At 49.3% G+C, this 20,221-nt stretch overlaps 1 protein-coding gene and 1 long non-coding RNA gene across 12 annotated transcripts in view, besides 2 other annotated features; one reads left to right on the forward strand and one right to left on the reverse strand.

Moving 5' to 3' along the window:
• Window positions 1–681: 681 nt before the first annotated feature.
• On the reverse strand, window positions 682–2,448 carry CFAP100-DT (CFAP100 divergent transcript). 3 transcript variants are annotated; one of them, NR_103788.1, is made up of 3 exons: window positions 1,949–2,448; window positions 1,133–1,184; window positions 682–943 (listed from the first exon to the last, which is right to left on the reverse strand). It is a non-coding gene; the product is annotated as a CFAP100 divergent transcript (long non-coding RNA). The 3 variants fall into 3 exon arrangements; NR_103787.1 differs by having other exon boundaries at window positions 1,133–1,303; NR_103789.1 differs by lacking the exon at window positions 1,133–1,184.
• A 110-nt stretch (window positions 2,449–2,558) lies between these two features.
• CFAP100 (cilia and flagella associated protein 100) overlaps window positions 2,559–20,221 on the forward strand; it is a 41,648-nt gene continuing 23,985 nt past the window's right edge. For 8 of the 9 annotated variants that reach the window (XR_007095676.1, XR_001740141.3, XM_017006322.2 and 5 more), the window contains exons 1-4: window positions 2,559–2,628; window positions 2,975–3,079; window positions 3,592–3,699; window positions 14,822–14,902. Coding sequence is in view for 7 of the 9 variants with exons in the window: in XM_017006322.2 (XP_016861811.1) it covers window positions 3,651–3,699; window positions 14,822–14,902 (130 nt within the window). In the remaining 2 variants the exon portion in view is untranslated. The remainder of the gene's footprint in view (window positions 2,629–2,974; window positions 3,080–3,591; window positions 3,700–14,821; window positions 14,903–20,221) is intronic. The other variant, NM_182628.3, reaches the window with a different exon arrangement.
• Window positions 5,455–5,964: an enhancer, noted in NCBI's record as "H3K4me1 hESC enhancer chr3:126116648-126117157 (GRCh37/hg19 assembly coordinates)". NCBI's record gives its function as "activates a minimal SCP1, AML or CMV promoter by ChIP-STARR-seq in naive H9 embryonic stem cells {active_cell/tissue: H9 hESC(naive)}" and the evidence as "EXISTENCE:reporter gene assay evidence [ECO:0000049][PMID:30033119]".
• Window positions 16,232–16,732: an enhancer, noted in NCBI's record as "H3K4me1 hESC enhancer chr3:126127425-126127925 (GRCh37/hg19 assembly coordinates)". NCBI's record gives its function as "activates a minimal SCP1, AML or CMV promoter by ChIP-STARR-seq in primed H9 embryonic stem cells {active_cell/tissue: H9 hESC(primed)}" and the evidence as "EXISTENCE:reporter gene assay evidence [ECO:0000049][PMID:30033119]".

Below are 20,221 nucleotides of genomic sequence, written 5' to 3' on the forward strand. Positions count from 1 at the left end.
AGTCCCTCCTCCCACGGCAGAAGCCAAAGATCTTGTGTGGAAGGCGGGAGGTGCAGGCAGGCGATCCAGGTGCTGCCTACCGGTCAGGAGTGCATAGCAGACTTCGGATCACAGCATGTTCTCTGCCAGAACGCGCCTGCGATGGCTTTGGGCTCCGCTCCAGGCTACAGCATCTCCCAGCTTGATTCCCTATCGTCCTACAGAGTCTGGGGGCACCCCCATGTCCTTTTCTCCCCCAAGTGGCTATAGTTGCTTTCTGTTGTTTATTCCCGAGAGCCCAGACTGATATACCTTCTTTGAGGAGGAAAATACGAAATCTGAAATACGAATTTCTCCTTTAAGAAGATTGTTAGCTTTTCCCAAAATGTTTGATTATGAACATTTTCAAGCTTCAAACATACAGAAATGTTGGAAGGATTTTGAAGCAGACATCCACATGCCCACTGCCTGGGCTGGACAGCTCACAGGCCACTACGATTCACCACACAGCCAGCCAGCCACCATTGCTCCACCAATCATGCATCTGATTTTAAAAATTAGCTTTTAATCAGCAAATGGTATTTCTAGTTAGACCTGTTAGGCTAAGACTAAAAGTTCCAAATCAGGTCACGTTTTCTAGGTGGTTTTCTTTCTAACCTTGTAAGCTACCAAGAGCAAAAACAAAGGCCAGAACACACAAACTGACAGATAACTTGCCTTTATTATGAAGTACACCTTTGGACTTGTGGGGTTTTTTTCCCAAAGCTTGTGCATCATTGTCTGGGATAACTGCATAAAATGGAAGGACGATTCCTGGTGAGAGGCAGTGTGTTCTAGGTAAGAGCAAAGCTGGAATCCGCTGTCTCACTGTGTCCCTGCTCTGTCCACACCGGCAACTCATGCAAAGGCAGGGTGATCATGCAGGTGAAATGGGTGGATTGGTGTCAAGTGCGTGGAACAGTACCTGGCACATAGAAAACACTCTGTAAGGTTCATGGGGAGATTCACGACTGTTCATAAACTGATCTGTTGATGACAATGAATGGGCAGGAGCCTGGGTACCTTTGTTCTCTTTGGGTCACTTATGTTCTAGCTTCCTAAAAGTCTCATTAGAGCACCTTGTATTTAGATAAACCATTACAAAAACACTTACTTTTCTACTTGAGTCACCAGTTTATGAAGTGCTTCTTGTGGTTTGCTAAAACCTAAATCGGAGGGACAGGTTTTTGTTCTGCTTTGATGGTTTGTAGGGAGATAAGGCTGCAGAGGTAGGCTGGGGCCGGGTCATTGAGGACTTTGAATGTCAGTGTAAGGAGCCTCTCTCCTAAGGGTAAAGGGACAACTTGTCTTTCAGCACATTTGACAATAGCAGCTGTAACGAACACACACGTGCACACATGCACACACACACACTACATGTGCACACATGTGCACATGCACACATGCACAAATCACATATGTGGCTTAACACAATACAACATTCTTCCTCCCTTGTGCAAAGCCCACTGTGGATATTGCAAGTTGGGACACTATTCTACCAGCGAAGATTCAGGGATCCCTGCTCCTTCCATCTTGGGAGCTCCTCCTCACTCCCACCCCCAGCTCCAATGGAGTTCCTGTTGTGGATGTGGTCTTCCCACCCACTACACCGGCCTTAGGCAGAGCCTGGCACAGCTGGGATCCTCACTGGGACTACATTGCTGGGCTGCAGACTGCTCCAGAGTCCCCCCAGAAGCCCCTAAATGTCCCTGAAAAGATGAGTCACTGACTGTGCTTTCAGCTCCAAGCAGCCTTTATCAATCTCTCAATCCCCATAGATACTGGGAAAATCTAGGAACATGTTCAGAACTCAAAGAGGGGTCTTCTGCTGCTGCTTTTTGTGGGGAGACAGGATCCCTGAGCTGGGGGACCAGACATCCTGGTGCCCCTGGCTTCAAGCAGCTGGTGGATCTGCGCGCTCAAAACTTGCCCTGGTCTGTATGGCCTCATCCTCTCGCTTGTCCCACTATGATGGATCTCGCTCGCTCCGTAGAGCAGTGGCTTTGCAACCCTAGCCAGCACTGGGGTCGCGCGTGGACTTGTCAGGACACACATTGCTGGGCTCCACCCCGAGTTTCTGATTCTGGGGCGAGGATTGAAAACTTGCTTTTCTAACGAGTTCCCAGCATTTTCGATGCTGCTAGTCCTGAGACCATACTTTGAAAACCGCCCCTCTAGAAAGTGCGATCCCTCCCCAGGAAAGAAGCAGGGCTATTTTTGCTCCAAAAGTATCCATCCTGCACGCCCTCTTCAGTGCTTGGCACGTGGCGAATAAACCAATCAGGATGAAAGGAGCCAACCCAAGTGCGGAGTGTTGAACCTCAGAGGAAGAAACCCGCGTTCACCAGGCCCAGGCCTGGGCCAGGCGCTGTCCTGGCGGCGTCAGGGAGGACATCGTGCCCAGAGCTCGGACCCAGCAGCCCGGCCCCGCGCCCTCCCTGTCCCGCGGCCCGCAGGCCCAGCCCTCAAGCGCCCAGCCTCCGCGGCCTTTGTGGCGTCACAGCCAGCCTGAAGAATGGTTGCCTTGGAGACGTAAACCCAAGAGCCCTGCTCCTGGAGCTGAGAACTGCAGCGCGGAGGCTTCGGAGCGAGCCGGGGCAGTCGGGGTCGGTGGGTGCGCTCGCGGTCCGGGGAGAGGGGGCGCGCGGGGTCCGTGAGGGCGCGTGGGGGCGGCGGCAGGGGTGCGAAACCAGGGCCCGAGGGGCGCGCGTGGCCGGGAGCGGACTTGCAAGGCGCCTTCCAAGGCTGCCCGCTCGCATGCCACTTGCTTGAAACACACCCATCTACCATCCACCCCATCTGTCCTACCATCCCTGTGCACCTCGCTGTGTGGCTCGGGGCCTTGCAGAGCGCGGGTGTTAGGAGGCGACCCTGCGAACCCCAGGCTCACCCAATAGGGGGCTGCAGCAGGAATGCGGCAGGAATGGCACAAGCTTAGAGTGGGGGCCCTTTCCAGAGGCAGCCCCTCCTGACTGTGACTTTGGACACCTCGCTGAATCTCTGCTTCCTCCCCTGCAAAAATGAAAATTCATTCAATGGATGAAGTTAAGAAGTGCCAAGGGTATGTCAGGAGCTTGGATGAGCAGAAAAGACCCCCCTGTTCTCATGGAGCTCACATTTTAGGGGGAAATAGACAACGAATGGATTTTTAAAGTGATAATCAGATAGTGGGAATTGCAGAGAAGAAAATAAAGGCCACATGGGGGTGGGGAGGAAGAAACCACTTTGGATGGGATGGTGAGAGGTCTCTCTAAAGAGGTGACATTTGAGCTCGGAATTGAAGAGAAGGAAGCCCAGCACCCCCAGCTGGGTATGGGAGAATATTTTTTGGCCGAGGAGGCCGAAAATGCAAAGGCTTGAGGCCAAGATTGATGTGTTCTAAGCACAGAAAAAGTAGGCAGCTAGAGCCAAGTCCAGGAGGTGAGAGTGGACCCTCGGGTGGGAGAGGCAGGGAGCCGGCAGGTGTCCCCACAAGGTGAGCCCTCAGCAAATGTCGGTGGCTGTCAGCCACCCAGGGGGAAGGAAGCTCTGGGCTTGGGGACCACCAGGCTCAAGCACTGTGTCACTCCTCAGGTGAGGATCTCCTTTAGAAGAGGAGAAGCCTTGCATCAACCTCTTGGGCCTCAGCCAAGATGTCTGAGATACCGTCCACTATAGTCTCCAAGAACATGACCAATGACAGTAAGTACCGGGCCAGGGTGGGCACTCTCAGAGGTCAGGGGCAGCTTCGGAGCCTGTCCAGCTCCCTCACAGGTTAAGGTAGCTCTAAACCAAACACTAGGCAGGAGTCATAGATCTGCCTACTTCCCTTGAAACAAGGCATATGGATTGCCTGCAGCTGCTGTAACAAAGCACCACCACAAACTGGGGGGCTGGAGTCACAGACATTTGTTTTCTCAAGCTCTGGGGGCTGGATGTCTGAGATCAAGTTGTCCAAAAGGCTAGGTCCCTCCAAGGGCTCTGAGCGAGAACCCATTCCGGGCCTCTCTCCTGGTTTCCAGAGCTTTGCAGGCAATCCTTGGTGCTCTTTGGCTTGTAGAAGCATCACTCCCATCTCAGCCTTCCTGCCCATGTGGAATTCTGCCTGTGTGTGTCTGTGTCCAAATTTCCCCATTTTACAGGGACCCCATCACATTGGATTGGAGGCCTACCCCGCTCCAGAATGGCCTCAGCTTAGTGAATTACAGCTGCAAAGACCTTATTTCCAAACAAGATCACATTCTGAGACAGTAGGGGTTGGGACTTCAACATACGAATTGGGATGACACAGTTCAACCCACAACAGACCATGAGGAAGGTGTCACCGTGAAGGTGAGCTTCTCTCAGCACCCCTCTGACCACAAATGCCAGGCTGGGCTCCAAGGAGGTGGTCAGCTGGCGCTAGGCCCTGGATGAAACATGCCTGCCCTAGTGGAATTGCATGCATTTGCCAAGATCTCACACAGGGCGACGCTGAGGGAGGCTGCCCAGGCCTACCTGGGGCCCTTCAGCTTTTTTATTGGAATTTAATTTGGTTTTGACCAGGCATAGTATTCCATGGTTCAAAATTCAAAAGTGTGTTAAAAGCCCCTCATTGTGAAAAGCCTCTCCCACCCTGTCAAAGGCATACAGTGCCCCTTCCTTAGAGATGGCCACTGTCCCCTGTCTCTTCTAGGCTACCAGCTCAGTGCACATACAGGCAAATGTGTGTAGATGAGGTTTGTTCTTTTCTTACACGGAGATCACACAATGAAAACCCTGTCTGCACCTTGATTTTTTTAATTAACCCATACATTGTAGAGACTGTTCCTTATCAATACATCAAGAATTCCCTTATACTTTTTGTGCTTTTGAGTAGAATAGTAATCTTTCAGTATGGCTGTATCATAATTTATTAACCAATTCTCTGTTCATATGGGTGATTAGCTTGTTTCAGAAAGTGTGCTGCTATAAACAGTGACCCCCACCATTACACTTAGGTGTGCACACGCTCTCTCGTTCTTTTTTTGCTCCAGAGTAAATTTTAAAATGAAGAAGGGCTGGAATAAGGTTTAAAAACAAAGATGGCTTTGAAATGTTTATAGATAACAAATTAACTCTCAATGTGCCCATAAAACAATGCAGATAATTATGCTACCACAAGACAGTTGAAGGACATGTAAACTATATTGATTTGTTTATTGGTATGAGGGGGAGTGCCTAGTTGGGGTACCCTATGACCCTGTGGCATTGGTAATTCCTCGAGATTGATTGAGGGCCTGTGCATTTGTGAGAAAACCAGGCCAGACAGGCAGAGCCAGGATTGGCACCCAGGGCCAGGGGTCTCAGAGTCAGGTGGGTCAGGGAGGTTGGCATGGGCAAGGTGGGCAGGGGACCTGGCCAGGGGCTTCAGTCAAGAGGACTGCTGAGCTCTGTGTCCTGGGGTCAGCTGCAGGAGCTGGGACAAAGGTAGGGGCCAAAATGACACTGAGCCACCTGGAGTGAGAGGTTTGGGGATGCTGAGCCAAGTACAGATAGGACCCCCCCTCAACCAGAGGGCCCAGGGCAGGGGCCTGGAGGCCAAGTAGGGAAAGGGCATTCTAGGCGGCTGGCCAGGCCCAAAGGCCCTGAGGTGGGAGTGGGCGTGGTGTGTTCAAGGGAGAGACAGGAGGCCAGCATGGGCCAACTGGGTAGGGCCTGTGGCCCGGGAGGACTATTGGCCTCTGCCCAGATGACGGGAAGGATTTAAGAGGGAGACTGCTCAGTGTCTAGCTTTATGACTTTTGTGATGAGAACGCTGTTCCCTAAGCCTTGGCAGAGGGGCTGGTTTGGCCACAGCCTCCTTTGAGGCATCAGGGCGGGCAGGGGTGGGGGCTGCAGGAATGCCCGGAGCTCTGGCCCTGCACCCTCAGCACCCAGCCCAGTGCGGGGCCAGTTCCAGGAGAGGCACTGGGGTCGCGCGTGGACTTGTCAGGAGAGGGCCTGCGGCTGGTCCCTCTGGGCCAGAACCCTGCCTGAGCCTCACTGTGGGTGTGGAGAGTTTGTTCCTTGAGCGGCCAAATATATTTCCCAAGACACCAGGCTCCAGGTACAAGACTCCAGAAGGAGCAGGTTGGGAGAGGCTTGCCCCTGCTGAAGGAGCCGTGTGCATGCGCGTCAGGCCAGGATGCCCTGCAGGCTCTCACTGCTGCTTCTCAAGTGCACGTCCCCCACAATGGGAGCATTCAGGAAGGGCATGGGGTCTAGAGAGGTTGTTAAACCACAGATGGCCAGGCCTTCCCCCTGCCAGTTCTGGCTATGAGGGATGCGAAGGGCTGGAGGCAGGAGTTTAATTTGGCAGTGTGGAGAAACATGATCTTCAGTAATCTAACCTTCATCTTGGGACATCCGAAGCCTGGCCTGGTGGCCTCGTGGGCAGAGTGGGCCATCCACACATGCAGCCCACATCAGGCCACTCAGGGACCCACAGTCACTTCACTAATGTTCATGGAGCACCTACCGTGTGTCAGGCACTGTGCTGGGCTGGGGCACAGAGGGCCATGAGACGGAGGCGCCTGCTCTCTGAGCATTTAGTAGAGTGCAGCAAACAGCTCTCAACTTCACCGGCTCCATCCATTCCTGCAGCCCTGGCCAGGCCAGGCCTGGTTCACTCCCACTCAGTGTCTTGGCACTGCTGTGTCCTCCACAGGGAATGCTCTTCTCCCCAGTTTCCCTGGGACTCCCTCCCTCACACCCCACAGGAGCTCATTTAGATGTCAGCTCCACAGGGAGGCCTCCCCTAAACAAGGTAAAACGCGGTGCCCCACCTGCCCTACATCCCTCATTGCTGTTCCCTGTTTCATTTTCTCAGTGGCACGTTCTACCCTCTGGCCTTTTGACCCTTCTTCACCTGTGTTGCTTACTGTCTCACTCCCATCCAGCAGTGACATTTGTTCCCCCAGAGCCTGGAACATCACAGGCCTCAGTCAAAACCTGTTAGCCTGCAAGCTCTCCCTCTAAGATCAAGAGCAAAACAGTGATGCCCACCTTCACCACTGCTGTTCAATATTGCACTAGAAGTTCTAGCCAGAGTCATTAGGCAAGAAAAAGAAAAAAAGAAGTAAAAGACCCAGACTGAAAAGGAGGAAGTAAAACTATTCACAGATGACACAACCCTATATATAGAAAATCTCAAAGAATCCACAAGGAAGTTACTAGAGCAAATGAATGAACTCAGCAAAGTTGTGGGTTACAAGACCAACACAGAAAAACCAGTTTGTCTCTGTTCACCAGCAATGAATAGCCCATAAATGAAGCCACTCATTGACAACAGGGGTGACATCATGGCAAAGTAGGAAGCTCTGGGAATCCCTCCCCTGAAACAATTGTGCTGGCGTGAATTATCAGAAGCAACTCTTCTGAAACTCTGGAGTTTAGTGAAATGCTTGCAGCTTGCAGGGAAGATCTTGATGAGGAGGCTGGGACATTTTAGTGAATTTTTAGCATTTCCTGGAGCAGCTGTACCAGCCTCCAGCCTGCAGCAGGCAGCAAGGAGAAGGTGGCCTGTGTTCCCGGTACAGCTTGCTGGTGCCAGGGTGGGAAATAAGGATCTTGTCCTCCAAAAATTGGGCTGTGTGTTTGATTGCTGATCATGGCCTGCTTCTGAGGGGCCGGCTCAGCGGCTGGCCATTGTTCCAACTCCAGGGTCTAAAGCAACCTCCCGGCTCTGTTGGTCAAGGGCTGTCCTTCCCCAACCCCTCCACTCTTGTGAGAGCTAGACTTTTATCTGACATTAGCTCACATTTAGAAATCTTTGACAAATGATTGATATCAAGAATATAGAAAGAAATCCTAACACTCAACAAGAACAACAAAAAGCAAACAACCCAATTCAAAACTGGGCAAAGGACTTGAATAGATAATTCTCAAAAGACGATATGCAAATGATCTACAAGCAGGAGAAAAGATACTCAACATCATCAGTCATTAAGGGAATGCAAATCAAAACCAAAATGAGATACCACCTCACACCCATTAGGATGGCTACTATCAAAAAATACAAACAAAAATAACAGGTGTTGGCGAGGATGTGGGGAAAATGAAACCCTTTTACATTGTTGGTGAAAGTGTAAAATGGTTCAACCACTGAGAAAAATAGGCAGTTCCAGCCTGGCACGGTGACTCTCGCCTAAAATCCCAGCATTTCGGGAGGCCAAGGCGGGCGGATCACGAGGTCAGGAGATTGAGACCATCCTGGCTAACATGGTGAAACCCTGTCTCTACTAAAAATACAAAAAATAACCGGGCATGGTGGCGGGCACCTGTAGTCCCAACTACTCCGGAGGCTGAGGCAGGAGAATGGCGTGAACCCGGGAGGCGGAGCTTGCAGTGAGCCAAGATTGCGCCACTGCACTCCAGCCTGGGCGACAGAGCGAGACTCCGTCTCAAAAAAAAAAGAAAAGAAAAGAAAAATAGGCAGTTCCTCAAAAAGTTAAACAGTATTAACATATGATCCAGCAATTCTACTTCTAGATATGTACCTAAAAGAACGGAAAGCAGGAACTCAGATATTAGCACACGCATGTTCACAGCAGTGTTATTCACAATAGCCAAGCGGTGGAAGCCGCCTGAGTATCCATCAATGGAGGAACAGATACAGAACATGTGGTGCATCCATGCAGTGGAGTGCTATTCAGCCTCAAAAAGGAAGGGAATTCTGATACATGCTACAGTACAAATGAGCTGGGAAACCTTATGCTGGTGAAATTAGCCAAACACAAAAAGACAAATATTGTATGATTCCGCTCATATAAGTGAGTGGAGCAGTCAGAGTCATAGAGACAGAAGGGGGAATGGAGGCCACCGGGGCTGGGGAGGGGAGGATGGGGAGTTGTTTAATGCACGCAGAGTTTCAGTTTGGGATGATGAAAAGTTTTTGAAATAGATATTGGTGGTGGTTGTACAACATTGTGAATGTAATTAATGCTATTGAGTTGTACACTTAAAAATAATTAAAATAGCAAGTTTTATGTTATATTTATATTTTACCATACTAAAAAAGTTTCAATGGCATAAAATGGCAAATCGTATTTTATATATATATATATATATATATATATATATATATATATATATATAGTATTATGTTACTGCAATCAAAAAATGTGTTCTTAAAATGTGTTAAATAAGTGAAGTAAACAACTAAATAGACAGGATGGTTCCCAGCAGTGCTGAAATAGGAGGCTGATTCAGTGATTGTGGTGGGAAGCATTTAGACAGGGGGATCAGGAAGGCTTCCTGGAGAAGGTGACATTTGAGTAGAGATGGTGAATAATGGGGATGGGCAGCCCAGAGAGAGTGTCTCGGGAGAGGGAGCAGCAGGTGGGAGGGGGAGGAGATGGAGGGAGGTGTGGGTGTGCCCAGCTGCAGGGGAGGACACTGACCTGTGAGTGGGAAGGAGACGTGGCCCAATTCCGTGGGGAACATCCCTGCCAAACCCTGGTCCTTCTGTGGCTCCCAAGGGCCTCATCCCTGTGCTCCCCAGGCTCACACCCTGCCAGCCATGCTGGCCCCAGTGGCTCCTCTTCAGCTCTGCCTGCAGGTTTTGCCTCCATGACCCCACGCTGTCACCACACTCCCCTTGGGGCTCTGCTCCCATGGTGCCTCCTCCGTGGGCTCCCTGATTGCCCCAGCTACTGGAATATCTCTCACTTCTCTTTATTTTATGTGCTTGTTGCCGGTCCAGAATGTGGACTCCAGGAAGGTAGGCATGGCACCTCCTTCAGGGCGGCATCCCCAGCCACACCTGACCCTGAGAAAGCGCCCACAGCTGTGGCCAGGCAGATGCCACTCTGAGGAGGCCTGGCCACTGTCTGGCACCATCACTAACCCAGTCCTGGGGGTGGTGAGGGATGGGACAAACATGGCTCCTGCTGGTTTAAAACACAGGTTTTATTATTGCTGTGTGGTGAGGCCAACAGAGCAGGAGATGACTGTCACTGGAGAGATGGCTGCTTACTCACAGATCCCTAGGACAGAAGGGGGTGCACCACGCAGGGCTGTGCGGGGGAAGCTGCAGGGTCAGCCAGAAAGCCCGAGGGAAAGGGGGACGTGGGCAGGAGCCTCCACTGTGGAATCACAGGAAGGAACGGTGAGGTGAGTGAGCAGGTGTAGGACTGATTTGTTAGAATAGTTTCGGGGTTCTGGGGCACAGGGCTGCCCCTGGTTGTCTGGTCCTGGCTCTGGGGGGATAGGGCAGGGATCAGTGGTCCTGAGAGTGACAGACTGACAGAGGCTGTGGCTGGGGTGTGGGCTCTGGATTGGGTGGTTTGCATTTGAAAGGTGTGCTCTGGGCAAGTCATTTTCTATCTCCAGGGATTAGCTAATCCGAGGGGGAGGGGAGGGAAGGGAAGGTCCTCTAGGCTCAGGAAGGCCCCAGAGGTCAAAGCATCTAAATGAGAAGACTTGGTTAATATGCCTGCCTTCCAGGAGTTTACTGCCTGGGGGTCGGTGGTGGGGGGTGCAGTCCAGACTTGCTGTGGGGAGTCCAGGTGGGGGCAATCACAGAGAACCAGCAAATAGGATGATGGTGAGGGTGCAGGTGGCAGGGGCGGATGGGTCCAGTGCTCCTCAGGAGACAGAGTCTGTGGGATCTGGTGACTAGGTGTGGAATGAGGGAGAAGAGGGTGTCGGGGATGCCTTGTCTCCTCAGTGACACCTGTGCATCACAGTGCTGTTTGCTGAGATGGCCAAGGCCAGGGGTGGAGCAGGTTTCGCAGGAGGGGGAAGGCCAGGAGCTCAGTTGGCGATGTGTAGGTGTCAGTGTCCTGTGGGAAACTCCCAGCCGAGACTCTGAAGAGGCTGCTGTGGATGGAGGCCCAGAGGTCAGGAGAGTAGGCGGAAACGTGAGGGCATCAGCAAATCCGCTGGGGCTGGAACTGAAGCCATGGGCACTGGTGAGGCGTCTAGGAGGAAAGGAGAGAGAATGGCCCGGGACACAGCCCAAAAGACTCCGATGGATAGAGGATGTTTGGAACTCATGTCACATGAGTGGAGTGCCCAGTCGAGTGTATTTTATCTTTTTTTTTTTTTTTTTTTGAGACAGGGTCTCACTCTATCACACAGGCTGGAATGCAGTGGTGCAATCTCGGCTCACTGCAATCTCCACCTCCCAGGTTCAAATTATCTTCCTGCCTCAGCCTCCAGAGTAGCTGGGATTACAGGTGCACCATCATGCCTGGCTAATTATTGTATTTTTAGTACAGACAGGGTTTCACCATATTGGCCAGGCTGTAGTTGGACTCCTGGCCTCAAGTGATCCACCTTCCTCGGCCTCCCAAAGTGCTGGGATTACAGGCGTAAACCACCGCACCTGGCCTATTGTATCCTTTTTTATGAGAATGTTTCACACCCAGTTCATTCTTTTCCTATCTCTCCTGAATTATTATAAAAGTAGACTTACACTTTAATAAAGACTTTTTAAGTTAAAAAATTAAATCATGTTAAAATACTAGAAGAAAACACCATTTTTTTTTCTAAAAAATATTTAAACTTCAGCGGCAGAATGCCTTTCTAAACAAGACACTAAACCCCAAAGCATTTCATTAAGCAAAAGTTAAATTTTCATACAAGGAAAATGAATGATAAAGTCAAATTGCCTGAAGGAGAATTATTTTCAGCAGCTCTGACAAATAAGCCAGTGTCCATCAATATAATAGATGAAGGTTCTCAAGAATCGTCTAGAAACTAGAACATTTCAGTAGAGAAATGGGCAAAGGATACTAATAGAATGAGGCAAGAAGATGGATAATTAACATCCAAAAAGACACACAGTTTCTTCCTAATTAAGAAATGCAGATGAAAACTGAGATGCCCTTTGTGACCTGTTAGAGTGACCGTTTCTGGTGTAGGGAAAGCAGTCCCACTAAAGTTGGTGATGGAAGAGTATCAAGCTAAAATAACCAAAAGAGTCAGAATCAGGTTTAGAGTTTCTCCAAGCACGAAGTTGAGGAGAAGTACAGGCCACCCAGTAATCAGAGATCCAGAGAATGAAAGTCCATGTTCCAAAGTGTAGAAGTTTGAGATTGTTTATCTAGACAAAGCTTTGGGAAGTTTAGCAGAATTTCAGCATCCTTCTATGGAAGGCTGCCTGCACATTACAAGGATCTGACTCGCTAAGGGGTCCTTTTCTCTCTGGACAAGTATATTTATCATTCCACACTGAAGATGCAACTGTCATGGGGTCCTGGGTGCCATCTGCTCTGAATTAGGTATGGGACAATAAAGAGGCAGTTAATCGGTAACAAAGTCTAGTGATTGGAAGTGGGAGTTCTGGTGTCCAGTCTCTCCCGGTCATTCACAGAGCAGGGAAAATGAGGTTTTTTTTCTGAGATGGAGTCTCGCTCTGTCGCCCAGGCTGGAGTGCAGTGACACAATCTTGGCTCACTGCAACCTCCACCTCCTGGGTTCAAGCGATTCTCCTGCCTCAGCCTCCCAATGAGCTGGGACTACAGGTGCACACCACCACGCCTGGTTAATATTTGTATTTTTAGTAGAGACGTGGTTTCACCATGTTGGCCAGGATGGTCTCGATCTCCTGACCTCGTGATCCACCCACCTCAGCTTCCCTGCTGGGATTACAGGCGTGAGCCACCACGCCCGGTCACAGATGAACTTTCTTTCAAGTCTTAAAATTTTGATGAAATACACATAAAATTGACCATCTTAACTATATTTAAATGTATGGTTCGGTGGCATTGACCACATTCACACTGCTGTGCGACCACCACCATCCATCTCAGAACTCTTCTCATCCCCAAACTGAACCTCCTCCCCATTCCCCCTCCCCTAGCCCTGGCGACCACTGTTCTACTTAGTCTCTGAATGCTCTAGGGACCTCCTGTGAGTGGCAGCATACAGTATTTGTCCTTTGGGGCTGGCTTGTTTCACTAAGTGTAATGTCCTTAAGGTTCATTTCTGTTTTTGTGTGTAAGCAGGTGAGCTTTTTAGTGAAAAACCAAGGGCATATAAGTGTATGTGTGCATAAAATACTTCTAGTCAGAGCTGCAAAAATCTTGGCCTGGCATGGTGGCTCACACCTATAATCCCAGCCCTTTGGGAGGCCAAGGTGGGTGGATCACCTGAGGTCAGGAGTTCAAGACCAGCCCGGCCAACATAGTGAAACCCCATCTCTACAAAAAATACAAAAATAAGCTGGGGGTGGTGGTGCACACCTGTAGTCCCAGCTACTTGGGAGGCTGAGGCAGGAGAATCGCTTGAACCTGGGAGGTAGAGGTTGCAGTGAGCCGAGATTGTGCTACTGTGCTCCAGTCTGGACAACAGAGCAAGATGCCATCTCAAAATAAATAAATAAATAAATAAAATGTATATAGGTAGCAAGAGCTTCAGGTGAGGCTATTTCATCATATCAATACATCAAACCTGTGTTGTTTGAAATATGTGCTATGTATGTGCATTGCTCTTTCATTCTTTCTTGTTTTAGAGACAGGGTCTCACCCTGTCACCCATGCTGGAGTGCAGTGGCGCAATTATGGTTCACAGCAGCCTCGACCTCCTGGGCTCAAAGGATCCTCCCCCCTCAGCCTCCCTAGTAACTGGGACCACATCCAGATCCATTGCTTTTTCATTTCTAATAGGGTTTTGGTTTGTGTCGTTTGGGTTTTGGTCTATTTAAATAGCAGTGGTATCTTCTGATTTATATGATATGGTTAATTAAATTCTATCTGGAAATGTAACCACATGCCTACTAAGATAGTTAGAGGACAATCATGGTTCAGCAACCGAGCCCCTGAGTTCTCCCCAGCCTCACCTCTCCCGACCGCCTCTGCCTCCCCGACTATACATTATGGATTCTGTGTGGCCCCGAAGGCCTCTGAGTTTCAGCCCAGGCCTGGCCTTCCCGCCTGTCCCACAAGACTCCCGCCATCTTCCTCACTCTTCCCTCACCCCATGACCATTTGCTCAGGGCCCAGGCCTTGGTATCATAGCCCCACCTCATGAGAAACCCTGTCTTCCCGCTCAGTGTTTCACTCCGGGACCACACAGTCCCTCCCCCATCCCGCCCCAGGAGGACTGGCACCCTGAGCAGCCCACCGGAGACCACGTTCTGGCAGCCCCTGCCCCTCAGGCACCGACCAGGATCTCCGAGCTGCAAAGTATTCCTGGGTGGGAGTGGAGGAAGTGTCCGGCCACATGTCTCTTTCCCTGTGGGTATCAGCACAGCAAGGCATTGGAGACCCAGCAGTAACACCTGAGTAGTCACCTGAAGAAACAGGGTGCTGGGGAGCCCACCCCGGGCGGGAAGGAGACTTGCTGGCCTTGGGGAGAAAATGGCTCTAGCTTCCAGGCAGCACAACCCCAGTTTTCCAGCTTGGTCAGAAGGGCCACTCCTCACGGTGGGATAGGGGTGGCAGCTCCCTGAGGAGGTGGGGTCTTAGGGGCCTCCATCCAAGTCCAGCAGGAAGCCCCTGGGAGGCAAGGCACTGGCCACGCCGGGGTCAGAGGCTTGGGGTCCTTGTCCTCCCTGGGTCCCGGTATGTCCATCTATAAAACAGCCTTGCACTGCTACTCTTAAGGAACACACTGAAGGATGGGAAAGGGGAGGCACAAAACATCCGTGCACCAGGCACAGGTGCCAGGGACTTCTCAGGCTATTTTCTTGCACAATTCTCACAACTTCCCAGCAAAGTCAGTGTGATCTCTGGGATGTAGAGCCCTCAGTCTCACAGGGGAGGGAGCTGAGGTTGAGCCTTTGTGTGTCTGAGACATTCCCCGCCTCAGGCTGTGTTCACAGTTCTCATGGGCCAGGGGAGTCACTGCTGCGGCCCTCACTTTTGTGTCTCCTCAGAGAACAGCCTGGAATCCATGAACATCAGCTCTTCTTCAAGCACTGAAGAGAACCCAAAGAAACAGGCAAGAAAAAACGAAGGTAACCTTCAAGCTGGGAGGCTAAAGTCCAAGTTGGCAGGAGGCAACTCCTCTCCCTCTGCCCCCAGATCCCCTCAGACCAGGTCTCTAGAGCTAAGGGCAGAAGGAAATGTTTCTCTTTCCATTAGGAATTGGGTTGACTTGAAATAACAGGCATGTAAACAAAGTAGGATTTATTGCTCCCTCTGTTAATGAGAAATGTGGGACGAAATGCAGACTTTCTTGAGGCTCCACTAACAGCAGTTCCATAAAATCACTCAGGTGACCAGGTCCCCAAGTCTCTCTGCTCCACCAGAAAGGAATTAGGGCTTTCAACCACAATTAGGGCTTTCATGCTCACAAAATGGCTGCTGCAGCTCCAGCCTCAGCACATCTGATTCCAGGCAGGGAAAAGTAACAAAGGGAAGGGCAAAACTACCCTTCAGCCAACTTAGCCTTCTAGGGGAAGGGATTTTTCCCAAAAGTTCCAAGCAGCAATGTCTTCCCACATTCCAGCAGCTAAATTTGCCATATGGCCATCAGGATCTATAAGGAGGGCACACTGCTGCCACCGTTAGGAGGAAGGAGGGCAGGTAGCTAGCTAGCTGCATGTGCCTCACCCTGGTAGCCCTGAACAGGGCATCGCTGCCACCTGCACTGTGGCTCCGACCTCCCTTGCCTGGACTCCCTGCTGTCTCCCGCTCTGCCCCTGGGCTAACAGACCAGTCTGATCCTTCTGCAGAGGTCTGCAGATGTGAGCATTTCTCCCAGCCTGTGCTCCATGGCCCAGGCTCCCACCCCTCTCCCCACCACATTTCCTCTCTTTTATTATTATGAAATTATAAAATGAAAATTTAAACATGTCCAGATGTAGAGATTGGAGCCAACGAGTTTCACAGGCCCACCACCAGGTTCTGCCACTGACTCAAATGTGCCCATTTGCTTCCTCTGTCCTTTCTCTCTTTTTCTTTGCCAGGACATTTTAAAGTAAAATCCAGACATGTCATTTCATCCACTTCAGCGTGCACTTCTCAACAATAGGGGTGTTTCCACACAAACCCAAGCACCATCACCACACCCGACAAAGTGAACCAGCCCAACCCATGGTCAGACTGGCCCAGTAATCCCAGAAACATTTTCCGTAGAAGATTCTTTCTAATCAGAATTCAAAGAAGACCTGAGCTCCTTCAGTCTCTGTGAATCTAGCAGCCCCCTCCCTGGCCCATCCCATCACTCTCTGGCCTTTGACTTGTTGAGCAGTGGTGTCGCCTCTCCTGCAGCAAGCCCCAGTGTCCCCATTCTGCATTTGTGTGTCTGCTTCCTGATGCTGGCACTGGGACTGCTTCTCTGTGCCCATCCTTCCTGCCCTTGGACATTAGCCCCAGGTGCTTGACTAGATCCCGGCTCCCCTTGGTCATGAGGCTCTTCTCATGGGCAGAGGCAGCACCCGCATCTGCTGTGGGTGCAGAGGCATGGGAGGGAGAAAGTCCTGGGGGCGAGCACCTGACCCTCCGCACAAACTATCAAGGCAGCCATTCACCCAATCACCCATCTATCCCTTTCCTTTTTTGAGACAGGGTCTCACACTGTCACCCAGGCTGAGGTGCAGGTGCAGTCGTTCGATCACAGCTCACTGCAGCCTCAACCTCCTGGGTTTAAGCGATCCTCCTGCTTCAGCCTGCCGGGTAGCTGGGACAACAGGTGCGCACCAACACACCTGGCTCATTTTTGTATTTTTTGTAGAGACAGGGTTGCACCATATTGCTTTGGCTGGCCTTGAACTCCTGGGCTCAATCAGTGCTTCAGCCTCGGCCTCCCAAAGTGCTGGGATTACAGGCGTGAGCCACTGCACCTGGCCCAGTTTATGAGTTTTGACAAATGTGTACAATGTGTTTCCTCCACCCTATGAAGATCTAGACCATTTCCATCTCCCCAGAAATTATCCGTCCCCCAGAGACAGGCACTCTTCAGCTATCCCCACCAAACCACTGGCTCTCCTCTCCAGCCTCCTGTAAATGGAATCGCACACTGTCTATCCTTTCAGTTTTCGCTCATATCCCGTCTGGGAGAAGCATCCACATTGCTGCACCTAGCCAGAGTCCCTTCTGTGCATATGCCAACCATTTATTCTTTCCATTGCTGGTGAACATTTAGGTTGTTTCCAGTTTTTACAAATAATACTGCTATGAAGTCTTGTACATGTCACTTTGGGGACATAAGCACTTGCGTCTCCTGGGTACACACCCAAGAGTGGAATTGCTGGTCGTGTGTTTAACTTTAGTGGATAAATGAAGTTTTCCAGAGGGACTGTACCAATTCACAGTCCCACCAACAGGCATATGACTTCCAGTTGTTCTGTGTCCTCTCCAACTTGGTACACCATCGATCCTTTTAATATGACTTTGTCCTCTGGGTATATGTTAGTATCTCATATTTCCTGGTAACCCAGGAGAGCAATTGCCTTTTCATATAGTTCTGGGCCATTTGATGATTCTGTGTTGGGACGTACCTGTTTCCATCTTCTGCCCACTTGTTTGTTGCATTGCCTGTTTATTTTAACGATTTCTTGGAGCTCTTTACTGGATAGAAGTCATTTGCTAGTTCTGAGTATGACGGATATCTTCTCCCACTCCTGGGACTGCCTTTCACTCTCTGAGTGGTGCTAAAAGGCACCAATAAAAAGTTCCTGGCTGGGCACAGTGGCTCACCCCTGTAATCCCAGCACTTTGGGAGGCCGAGGCGGGTGGATTACCTGAGGTCAGGAGTTCGAGACCAGCCTGAACAATATGATGAAACCTCGTCTCTACTAAAAGTATAAAAATTAGCTGGGCATGGTGTTGGGAGCCTGTAGTCCCAGCTACTCGGGAGGCTGAGACAGGAGAATTGCTTGAACCCAGGAGACGGAGGTTGCAGTGAGCCAAGATCTTGCTACTGCACTCCAGTCTGGGCAAAAGAGCGAGACTCCGTCTCAAAAAAAAAAGTTCCTAAGTTTAGTGTAGCTCAGTTTCATGCAGCTCAATCGTTTCTTCATTATGGCTTTTAGTGTCTTATTTTAAAACTCTTTAGTGACCCCCAAGGTCATGATATCCTCTGATTGTGTCTTCTACAACTTTTTGTTTTACTTTCACAATAAGACCTACAAACCACATCTTAATTGACCTAATCGTAACCATTTCATTTATAGATTCCTTTGGGTTTTCTACTATACAATCATGTCACCTTGAATGGCATTATTTTCTCTTCCTTTGTGATCCTTATACCTTTTCTGCCTTTCTTTTTTTTTTCTTTTGAAACAGGGTCTCACTCTGTCACTCAGGCTGGAGTGCAGTGGTGCCATCTCGGCTCACTGCAGCCTCGACCTCCTGGGTTCAAGTGATCCCCCCACTCAGCCTCCCAAAGTGCTGGCATTCCAGGCATGAGCTACCCTGTCCAGCCTTTTTATTTCTTTTTCTTGAATCACTCTCCCAGTGAGGACCCTCATTTTAATGCAGAATAGCAATGTAAAGAGCAGGCATCCTTGCCTTGCTCCTGGTCTGATCCTACATGGGTGGAGGGACATTCAGTATGTCATCCGCAGATTTCTTGTAGATATCTGTATTTATTTCCTATTGCTGCTGTGACAAATCACCACAAACTCAAAGGCTTTGAGCAGCACAAATAGCTCATCTTACAGTTCTGGAAGTCAGAAGTCTTATAGGACTAAACCAAAGCATTGGCAGGGCTGCCTTCCTCCTGGAGGCTGGGAGAAAAATCCATCTTCCTGCCTTTTCCAGCCTTTAGAGGTGGCTGCCCACATCACTTGGCTCAAGCCTCTCACTCTGTCTTCGAAGGTAGCAGCACAGTTTGTTGAGAGTTTTTATCATAAAGGGGTGCTGAATATTGTCGAATGCTTTTTCTGCATCTTTTGATATGATCATATGGTTTTTGTTTTAATTCTGCTTATGTGATGTATCACATGTATTGACTTGTGTATGCTGAACCATCCCTGCATCCCTGGGATGGAACCCACTTGATCACGATGAATTATCTTTCTGATGTGCTGTTGGATTCAGTTAGCTAATGTTTTGTTGAGGATTTTTGCATCTATGTTCATCAGGGAAACTGGTCTGTAGTTTTTTTTGTTGTTGTTGGTTTTTTTTTTTTTTTTTTTTTTTTTTGCTCGTGTCCTTTCCTGGTTTTGGTATCAGGGTGATACTGGCTTCATTCTATGAGGATCTCTTCTTTCTCAATATTTTGGAATAGTTTTAGTAGGATTGGTACCAATTCTTCTTTGAATGTCTGGTAGAATTCAGCTGTGAATCCATCTGCTTTTGGGCTTTTTTTTTGTTGGCAATTTTTAAATTATGGATTCAATCTCGCTACTTGTTATTGGTCTATTCAGGGTTTCTATTTCTTCCTGATTTAATCTAGGAGAGTTGTGTGTTTCCAGGAATTTACCAGTTTCCTCTGGGTTTTGTTTGTGCACATACATGTTCGTAGTAGTCTTAAATGATCTTTTGTATTTCTGTGGTGGTGGATGAATATCTCCAGTTTCATTTCTAATTGAGTTTATTTGGATCTTCTCTCTTCTTCTCTTGGTTAATCTTGTGAGTGGTCTACACAGATTTTATTTTTTCAAAGGACCAGGTTTTTGTTTCATTTATCCTTTGTATTTCTTTTGTTTCAATTTCATTTAGTTCTGCTCTGATATTTGCTATTTTTTTTCTTCTGCTGGGTTTGGATTTAGTTTGTTCTTGTTTCCCTAGTTCCTTGAGGTGTGACATGAGGTTGTCAGTTTGTGCTCTCTCAGACTTTCTGATGCAGGCATTTAACACTATGAACTTTCCTCTTGGGACCGCTTTTCTGTGTCCTGGAGGTTTTGATAACTTATCTCATTATTATCATTCAATTCAAAGAATTTTCAAATTTCCATTTTGATTTCCTTGTTAACCCAGATGTCATTCAAGAGCAGATTATTTATTTCCGTGTGTTTCTATCACATCACTCCACCTTGGCTTCTCTTCCTGCACTCCTTGTTCTGCCCCAACTCTCCTGCCTCCCAATTACAAGGTCCCCCGTGGTTACACTGGGCCCACCTGGACATGCCGGGACAGTTTCCCCACCTCAGGATCCTTAGCTCAATCACATCTGCAAAGGCCCTTTCGCCATAGAAGGTGACACTATCACAGGTTTGGGGATTAGGGCACGGGCATCTTTGGGGGCTGTTACTCAACCAAAGCATAATACCCTTTATCAGATTGGGGGGTTCCCTTCTATTCCTACTTGCTAAGAGTTTTATTCAAAAATAAGCTTTGAATTTTATCAAATAATTTTACTGCATCTCTTGAAATGATTATATCAT

This window comes from Homo sapiens, chromosome 3 (genome assembly GCF_000001405.40).
Source record: "Homo sapiens chromosome 3, GRCh38.p14 Primary Assembly".
NCBI classification, from domain to species: domain Eukaryota; kingdom Metazoa; phylum Chordata; class Mammalia; order Primates; family Hominidae; genus Homo; species Homo sapiens.